This window comes from Homo sapiens, chromosome 3 (genome assembly GCF_000001405.40).
Source record: "Homo sapiens chromosome 3, GRCh38.p14 Primary Assembly".
Lineage (NCBI taxonomy): Eukaryota > Metazoa > Chordata > Mammalia > Primates > Hominidae > Homo > Homo sapiens.
This window is the reverse complement of record NC_000003.12, coordinates 152,484,181-152,494,579: the sequence shown is the minus strand read 5'-3', so window position 1 is coordinate 152,494,579 and position 10,399 is coordinate 152,484,181. Positions and strand designations below refer to the sequence as shown.

General features: G+C 36.8%; 1 annotated feature.

Annotated features, from left to right (window-relative positions):
- Positions 9,974-10,179: a silencer, noted in NCBI's record as "fragment chr3:152202190-152202395 (GRCh37/hg19 assembly coordinates)". NCBI's record gives its function as "represses an EF-1alpha promoter that drives an FKBP-Casp9 reporter gene in an ReSE screen in HepG2 liver carcinoma cells {active_cell/tissue: HepG2}" and the evidence as "EXISTENCE:reporter gene assay evidence [ECO:0000049][PMID:32094911]".

The window sequence follows — 10,399 nt, the reverse complement described above, 5'->3', positions numbered from 1 at the left end:
TTATTTCAAAACAATTATGTACTCCTCTTCATTTTTTCCTTTAGAAAGATTTGTTTTCCTTTACTTCCTTGAATAAGCACAAACTTTGTTGCAGCATGTATATTCCCATTGCAACACTCTATTTCCAAATAAACATAATATTTATTTTTTATTTATTTAGAGACAGAGTCTCACTCTGTTGCCCAGGCTGGAGTGCAGTGGCACAATCTCGGCTCACTGCAACCTCCACCTCCCAGGTTCAAGCAATTCTCCTGCCCCAGCCTCCTGAGTAGCTGGGACTACAGGTGTATGCCACCACGCCTGGCTAATTTTTTTTTTTTTTTTTTTGAGATGGAGTCTCACTTTGTCGCCAGGCTGGAGTGCAGTGGCACAATCTTGGCTCACTGCAACCTCTGCCTCCTGGGTGCAAGCGATTCCCCTGCTTCAGCCTCCTGAGTAGCTGAGACTACAGGTGCATGCCACCACACCCAGCTAATTTTTTGTATTTTTAGTAGAGATGGGTTTTTCACCATGTTGGCCAGGATGGTCTCAATCTCTCGATCTTGTGATCTGCCTGCCTCAGCCTCCCAAAGTGCTGGGATTACAGGCGTGAGCCTCCGCACTCAGCTAATTTTTTTGTATTTTTAGTAGAGACGGGATTTCATCATGTTGGCCACGTTGATCTCAAACTGCTTACCTCATGTGATCTGCCCACCTTGGCCTCCTAAAGTTCTGGGATTACAGGTGTGAGCCACTGTGCCCGGCCGAACATAATTTCTTTTTAGGTTTAGGTTGACACCAAAACCTGTCTCTTGCTCATCTTTTCTTCTGTCTGCCATATCTAGCACTTGCATATAAGCCTTAGTGAATGTTAAATTTCACTGGGTAGATTGTTTTCTCTGTTGTCATAGTCTCAGAGCTTCTTCTGTTACTGTGAAGAAGTTCTGTCTATTAATCAAAGCCCTCTCTGGCTACTTGCTGTAATGGTTGACTGTGTACCTTTCCCTACACTTTTTAAAAAAGATTTTAGCAAGAATATAGCAATATTGGTATTGTGACTGATCCTTCTAAAGAAACTCCCGAAAGATAAGAGATTATGCCAAAACTTTGAGAAAACAAATTATCAATGTCCATGTACATATGAAATTAAAGATATTAATCAATCGTAGTACATTTTAACCTACTGAATGAATATAATTAGTCTTATATCATATATTTGACTCATATTGAGAAAGTATTAATTTGACTGAAAATACTTCAAAAAATAATAAGCATAAATGTGTGTTAGGATGAATTTTACTATTTGGTTCTTGTTTTTGTTTTTTCTTGATATTATTCATATAAAAACCACCATAATTTATAAATTATGTTCTAAAGTCAGAAATTTTAAATTGTTCTAAAAATTGCCAATATTATGTAGAATTGAAGATAGTCACCTCTTACCACAATCACTCATACTATTTTAATGAAATTGGTTTTTTAAATATATAATTAATATTGAAATTATAATTTTTCAGAAGAATAATGTTCATATATTCCACAACCCTAACACAATTATTAACATATTGAATTTTCTAGTAATCATTTTTTCCTGGTCATCTCTTTCTCATTTAACCTTAACCAGTCTGTACACAATTTATATCACACTTTTCTCTTTTTTTTCCTAATCCTTACCATGATGCCACATTATCCTCATAACCTTAATTTTAATTAGTACATAATATGCCTAGAAAAGATGGCACCATGACTATTGTAAACAATTTTCTTGTTGGGTAATCAGATTGCTCTCAGTTTTCACTCAATTACCTAATACTATAATGAAAATCTGTATCTATAGTGATTTTTCATTTTTTGATTTTTCCTTAGTGGGAGTTCTCAGATGTAGAGTTAATATTTAAAAATTATTGTTTTTATATAGTTTTTGGAAAATATTATTTATTATCCTAAATGTCCTTTTCAGCAATGTATAAAATTACTTTCTTTACTGCACTCTTTTAATCATTGAGTGGCATCATTTTGGGAGTGATCAATTTAATAAATAATAAACGGCATCTCGCATTGTGCATTTATTTGATTAATTAGCTTTAAATTTTTACATATTTTATTATGTTGCCTTGTGAAAATTGTCTTTTGTTGTTCTTTGTCCATATAAATAAACTCTTTATAGATTTCTCTGATGCTAAGCAACAAAAATTTGTAATCAATTTTAAAAATCAAGTGAACAGCTTTGTAAAGCTCTTGGAATCTTATTTTTAGAAATACTGGTTTTGCTCATAGAAATCAGCTATTTATAATTCTAGTTGCTGAACATAAATTGAGCATACAGTAGGCATCAGGCACTTTATTTCATTTAATATTGTCTATCAGTCCTATGAAGTAGATCCTATTATTATTATTATTACCGGTTTAGAGGTGACTGAAGAGGAATTGAGAGAAGGTTAATTACCACAGGTCAGACAGGTGGTTAGTGATGAAGTCAGAGCTAGACCCCACATATGACATTTTTTAACCACTACAGATCAAATTATCAAATACAGGAAGTGTTCATAAAAGCAGCCTATCATATGGAAGCTGTCAGAGAATGGCCTGATTCATACCGTCACATTTCTGAGTTTTAGCTTTAGCCTTGTGTTCTAATCAGTTCAGTTGCCACAGCAAAAATACCATGGACTGAGTGGCTCGAACAACACAAATTTATTTCTCACAGTTCTGAAGGCTAGGAAGTCCATGACAAACTGCTGCTATTCAATTCCTGGTGAGAGCTCTCTTTTTGGTTTTTAGATGGCCAACCAAAACTTGGTTTTCTTCTTGTCCATCTTCTTGCTGTATCCTTACATGGTGAAGAGAGAGAGATCCAGTCTCATCCTCTCCTTATAATGGTGTTAATCCAATCATAGAATCTCCAAACTCATGATCTCATCTAAAACTAATTACCTCCCAAGGGCCCACCTTCTAATACCACCACGTTGGGAATTAAGGCTTCAACATAAGAATTTGGAGGAGACACTAATAAGTCATAGTACCTTGTGACCAGAAAAAAAACAAGAAATGGTATAAAGTTGACCTCCAAACATGAATGAAAAACTGGAATTATTAGAGCTAATTTCAATATTATCCATGTGAATCTACAAAGAGGCGTCTGACAGAGTAAAATCTGAGCAATGTATTAATCTTCAGCCTTCCACTAATCCACTGAGTGACCTCAGGAAGTTATTTAAGCCCTCAGAGTCACAAAGTCCCCATTTTTTTTAAAGGCTTATAAAGCTTTCCTTGATTAAATGAGATTATATATATATATATATATTTTATATATATATATTATATATATATATATGGAGAGAGAGAGAGAGAGAGGACCTAACAGAGTGTTTGGGTTATTATAGGTGCTTAATAGATAGTTGTTATTTTTGTGTTTGTTTTCCAATATTTGATGGATATATAGTGTCAAATGTCTCCAGATTATTTGCTAGGCTCTATCAGTCCTGAGAGTCACTAACGTGTATAAGTCTTCCCAAGACTTTAGTTGAAAGAAAATAATCCATTTTAGAGCTTCTACAAATACTCACACATTGGAAACTTTCCAGTGTAGACTAAATTACTCTCAGTGCATCTCTGGACAATTTCATGTCGTCCAAAATCTCTGTACCTTGACTGCATTCATTGTGTAAATTCCTGAAATAGGCTTAAATAATTGATTGTGGAAAAGAATAAAAAGCCTCATACCATTAACAAGATTGGATTCTGACTCCCACAAGTCTAATTATCCCCTTGCAAAGTACTCTTCTCTACTCTTTAGCTCTTGTCTCTTAAAACAATTTGCTACAGTCTTGATTTTTGTTTCTGCTCATTATCTATAGGTTCTAACTTCAAAGTGGCTACAGCTAGTGTATTTCTACTGTTTAATCTAATATTGTTATAGGCACAATTATATAATATTAATACTTCTTTCAAAGTAATTTGTTTCGTAGAATCCATTATGAGTTGTTCCTTATTTCATGATTTTGTTTAAGGAGATTCCCAATGAAACACATTTCTGTTTTGACATTCTACTGGCTTCTGCAAGTGGACTGTAAGCCATTTGGTCTTTCTCATGTAATCATAACTTTTCTCTTGGTATAACTAAAGTTACTGCATTTCTTACCTTCAATAACAGTGTAATTTCTAAAATGTGCCACAACAGAATTACCTTTCCTTCATTCACTTAGAGATGGTGGAATGAAAATTTGGGGTAAATGGAGAAAAAAATGTGTTAACTAGAAATATTTAAGGCAACCTAATTTGAATTAAATGAAGACTTTATCACTTAAAAGTGTTTTGCAGTGCCTCTATCGAATATTGATTATAACATTGTTTATTTGTGTTTCATTTTTTATTTTAAAATTAAAAAAATTTTTTCCAGAGACAGAGTTTTGGTCTGTCGCCCAGGCTGGAGTGCAGTGGGGTGATACTAGCTCACTGAAGCCTTCACCTTCTGGGCTCTAGATACTCTCTGCCTCAGCCTCCTGAGTAGTTGGGACTACAGGTGTGCACCACCAAGCCCGGCTAATAAAATATATATATATATTTAAGAGACGTGGTCTCACTGTGTTGCCCTGGCTGGTGTGAAACTCTTGGCCTCAAGCGATTCTCCTGCTTTGGCCTCCTAAAGTGCTGCGATTACAGGCGTGAGTTACTGCACATGACCTTGTTTGGGTTTTAACAATCCAGTTCTCAGCTAATTCAAATGGCGGCGCTCATTCTTACTCAGGCTGTTTGGTGTATCTGTTCCTACTGTGATGGAAAAATCATTTGGAGGACAAAACCCTTAATAACTTTTAACAAGACCTCAAACTATTATCTGTCAGAATAATTTCTTGAATATAATTCTTCCTTGTGCTTCTGCTGAACATTGATATAGCAATGAGATGTTAACAACTCCTAAGGGAGCTGGCTGGGTTTTATTATATTTTAGAAGGAATAATTGTTTCTCTAAGAGATCATGATTTAATTTGGATAGTGTATCCAAGGACCTCAACCTCAGAACCCTCTCTAGAAGTAGAATGACCCAATAAAGCCACTTTGGATAGACTTTTGAAACTTCATCTTTTCTTTCTCTTTCTTTTTTTTTTTTTTTTTTTTTGACAGAGTTTTGCTCTTGTTACCCAGGCTGGAGTGCAGTGGCGTGATCTCGGCTCACTGCAACTTCCACCTCCCAGGTTCAAGTGATTGTCCTGACTCAGCCTCCTGAGTAGCTGGGATTACAGGCATTCACAACCACACCTGGCTAATTTTTTGTATTTTCAGTAGAGATGGGGTTTCACCATGTTTGCCAGGCTGGTCTTGAACTCCTGATCTCAGGTGATCCATCCATCTCAGCCTCCCAAAGTGCTGGGATTACAGGCATGAGCCACCATGCCCAGCCCGAAACTTCATTTTTTCTAAAGAAACCACATTGATGCTGATGACGTAAAAATCGTTGGAATGGCCGCGCGCGGTGGCTCACGCCTGTAATCCTAGCACTTTGGGAGGCCGAGGCAGGTGGATCACGAGGTCAGGAGATCGAGACCATCCCGGCTAACATGGTGAAACCCCGTCTCTACTGAAAATACAAAAAAATTAGCCAGGCGTGGCAGCATGCGCCTATAGTCCCAGCTGCTGGGGAGGCTGAGGCAGGAGAATGGCATGAACCCAGAGCCAAGATGACGCCACTGCACTCCAGCCTGGGTGACAGAGCAAGACTCCCTCTCAAAAAAAAAAAAAAAAAAAAAAATGGTTGGCATGTTCCTTTCTTGAATGGCATATATTAAACATATAACTTCCCTGAATTTTCTCACCTAACACCTCAAAAAACCCACATGCCTCTTTTCTTAATCAACATGTGACTAAATGTCATCCAGTGCATCTGATCATAATACTTTGCCCTTACCAGTCTCATTACCTTGTGCCAGAAATGACAGAAGTAATACTCAGGCTTTCCATCTCTAACGGTGCCAAGTTCATGTATAGACTCTATCAACATTTGGTTTTATCTCATCTGTCTATTTCTGTGCTTGATTTGATTCTGACTAGAGCCACACAAATGCAAGAACTTATGTTAATCTATATCTATGCCTGCCATAGTCACCTGAGACTCTATTTTGTACTCTGTAACTATGGGTAGGATTTTAAAACCTCACTGGTATTTAAAAGAAAAAGAAAAGCTTATGTATTAGATGCTGTTTTAAAAGTGATTATCTCTTTCTCAGAAGCTCCTTAATTTTCAAAATGACTTTTTAGCTATATTCACTCAATGTGAATTTTAAACACAGACTTCAGAAAAATATTTACTCAGATCTCTTATTTCCTTTCACAAGTTTTGAGTTCTCTTTCTGATAGTAGGGTTCTCCCTATAAATTCAACCTAAATCTAAAATCTAACTGTGCATATATACTGAAATGTACTTACATGCTTATGTAACACAAGGGAATGAACCTATATCCAAAATTTGTTTGAATGTTGAGAATGATACACCAAGAGAGTATGAAAATGTTTATTAGCCAGGCGTGGTGTATTATTGCCACGCTGCTAATTAAGACATACCCGAGACTGGGCAATTTACAAAAGAAAGGTTTAATGGACTAACAGTTACACATGGCTGGGGAGGCCTCACAATCATGGGGGAAGGCAAGGAGGAACAAGTCACATCTTATGTGAATGGTGGCAGGCAAAGAGAGAGAGCTTGTGCAGGAAACACCCCCTTATACAACTATCAGATCTCGTGAGACTTATTCACTATCATGAGAACAGCAAGGGAAAGACCAGCCCCCGTGATTCAATTACCTTTCACCGGCTCCCTCCCACAACATGTGGGAATTCAAGATGAGATTGGCATGGGGATACAGCCAAACCATATCATGTGGTGTCTCACACCTGTGAACCCAGCACTTTGGGAGGCCAAGGCAGGTGGATCACTTGAGGCCAGGAGTTTGAGACCAGCCAGGCCAATATGGCAAAACCCCATCTCTACTAAAAATACAAAAATTAGCCGAGGATGGTGGTGTACTCCTGTAGTCCCAGCTACTCAGGTGGCTGAGGCATGAGAATCGCTTGAACTGGGAGGCGGAGGTTGCAGTGAGCTGAGATCGCACCACTGCACTCCAGCCTTGGGTGACAGAGGGAGACTGTCTCAAAAAAAAAAATAATTAATTAATTAATTAAAAGAAAAGGTTTACTACTCAAATAATGAGGCTTTTTGAGGAAGATAGATTCCAAGCAAATCCAAAAGTAGTTTGACAGAGGAGGGAAAAAAGACTAGCATGGGGTTTTTATGTAATCAGAGAGGAAGACTGAGGTGAGGATTCCTGTATGCGGCTTGAACTTCCTGCAGGTGCCAAAGGAGAAAGTATTAGGCTTTCTAATCAGGTTGCCCACATATGGGAAAAAAGAGGAAAAGGAAGAGGAGAAGCTTAAAAGTTGTTAGCAGACAAACATTAAGAAATGGAGTCATAACCTTATTGTAATACTATACTTGCACAAACATAGTAAACATTGGAATATACCTACCCACACATGCTGCCTCCTATACTGTGTAGACCCATTAGATTTCTATGTATTGCAGGGACCTAGGTTCCTGTGATCGCCCTAGGTTCATAATTCCTGCTCTCTTGTGATTCTCACTTGAACCTCCTCTCCCAAGACCGTTTGTGTCTTTGCACTTGATTTGATCAAAATGCAGAATTCTCTCCTTCTTCATGGCTGAAACAACGACTGGAACATAAATGTCCTACTTACACAAGACATTTGCATTTGCAGCATACTATTCTAAAATAGATAATTCAGAGAAATAGAGCAATAAGGAGATTATTACTTCTATTGATAAAAATGTGCCATGCCTCCTAGTAGGCAGAAGTTACTACATACATTTGCACTTTAAATAACAAGTAATTTTTTTCCTCTATGACATGAACAAAATCATTTGTCTCCCTTTGATTACATGAGATTATAAATATAAATAATTTAGTAAGCACACACACAAAGAAGTACCTGCAGACAAATGCTGACACATGGTTTGCTGATCTTGTTGGCTTCCTTACTGCCAAATGATGTAACTTCACACGATCTTGACTCAGGAGACTCAGAAATGCTGTTAGTCCCCCTGAAAAGTGAACTGAAGATCATAAAAGATTTCTGTCAATTAAATTTTATCATTCATATAAAACTCATAAAGTGGAGTTCTCACAGAAAGTATTCAGATTTTTTTCTTTTCCTCTAGGCTTTTTTCACTCACAATATACTTCAGAATAAAAGCATGACCATTTCTGTTTGTTCCAGTGAGATATATATTTATATTTTTTTCTGCTAAGATATATATTTACATCTAATTTTTCCTAATGAAATGTAGTACTGAGAGGTAAATTACTTTAGCTATAATACTTGGCATCATGAATAAATTTATTTGTAAGCATTAAGCCTCTGATCCTCACTTGTAATGGTTTCATAGCTGAGCATTTACCAAGAGTGATAGGTTTGGAAGTTAGGTACTGTGCTGCTTCCTTCCGTAATCCAACTCCAAACAAGATTCTCACTGAAGAGGACAATCTAATAAATTCACTTGCTTGAGCTTTGTCTTAAATTATAAATAATTTGGATAATTCAAATATAAATTTCAAGGTGACTCCACCCTCAGATTCGAGGAGATATGGTTTTAGAAACAGCTCATCAGCCTCTCAGAGAATCCAAGTGAGTATTTTTCATAACGAAGGAGCTTAATAGGAACTAAAAAATTTTCAAGATTAAGATGAATCTGCCCTATTCAAATTTACTACAATAGTAGGTGGTGATTTAATAGGAAAAGAGTTATAAAGATCAGTTTTGGACTCATTAAATATAAAAGACAAAAAATATTACCTTGAATATAAAATATTATATATTTATGATAATATTTTTCTTCTTTATCACTCTTTATAAGTAATTTTTCAATTGATATGACTAAAATGACTAGAATTGGTTTCTTGTAAAATGTGCTCAGGGATACAAATGAATCAATGCGTCTTTATAATTAAACATTTCATTTACTTTCCTTAGAAGAAGAGAAATTAATACCAAAATAGATATGCCCTGATTTTATATATTATATAATATTATATAATATATAAAATCAGGGCATATCTATTATATATATATAATCAGGGTATATCTATTATATATATAAAATCAGGGTATACCTATCTTGGTATTAATTTATATTATTTGGTATTAATATATTTGGTACTTTTATATATATATTATATATATATATATCCTTTAACCCAAATTAATGCTTAATGACTAATCCAGCTGCATAATCTCTTCAAATGTTTATATGGCTTTAAGCCATTGTGATCAAATTTATATAAAAATAAAACAGATCAGTTATAAATCAGGTGAACCACAATTTAAAATTGATCAAGACCAATGATATTTGCCTTGAGAATTCAAGATATTCTTAAGAACTCTAGAGTCAGAAATACCTATTTTGAAGTATTGCTTAATTATTATTGGTGTATTTAGCAAGGTACTTGTTCTCTCTGTTCCTGAGTTTTTTCGTTTCCCTCATAGAGATAAAAATACCTATCTCAGTAAGTTAGTTGTGAGAATTAAAAAAAATGATTTCCATGTTGCAGTGGGGTTTTCTCTACTCCATGTCCAGGCAGATCTCCAGGCATTCTGAGCACCAGCTCAGCTAGACCAGCAGACTGAGCCACCCCATCTTTACTGTGCAGAGTTCCTAGTGCAGTGGGGTCCTCTCTGCTACATGCTCAAGGAGATTTCCAGGTATTCAGAGCACCTGCTTGCCTAGTTCAGCAGCCTGAGTTACCCCAGCCCTCCTGTCCAGAGATCTTGGTGCAGGGGTCTTCTCTCTGCTGCATGCTCAGGCAGATCTCCAGGCATATGGAGGACTCACTCTTCTGGATTGGTAGTTTACGGCATCCCTGACCTCTCTGTGCAGAGAACTTAGAGCCAAGGTGGTTTCCTAGCTCCGCATCTAGGCACGCCTCTAGGCACTTGGTGGCTTCTCATGGGATTCTCCCTTGGCACTTGTGTCTATGCCTGACATTGGACGATCTGTACATGGACCTTCCCAGTCCAGGTCTGCCCCTTGTACCCCCCTCCCCAGGGCTGAGTAGGGAGATTAGACAACCATACATTTCACAAATCATCTTATTGCCTGAAGCAACAGAGAGTTTCTGCCACTAAACAAGGATCAAGTATTTACACAGCCAAACTGGCCAGCACCAGCTCTTACCTGTAAGTGCCATCTGCAAGCTTGTAGATTGTACTCCACAATGCAATATAAAACCTGCTAAAAGAAGTGTATAGGGCTATGGAAGCAAAGCTATAATACCCTACCCAGCTTTCTCTACAGTCACAACCCCTAGGGATGGGGAAAAAGGGAAAAGGAAAGATAAAAATAATATAATAA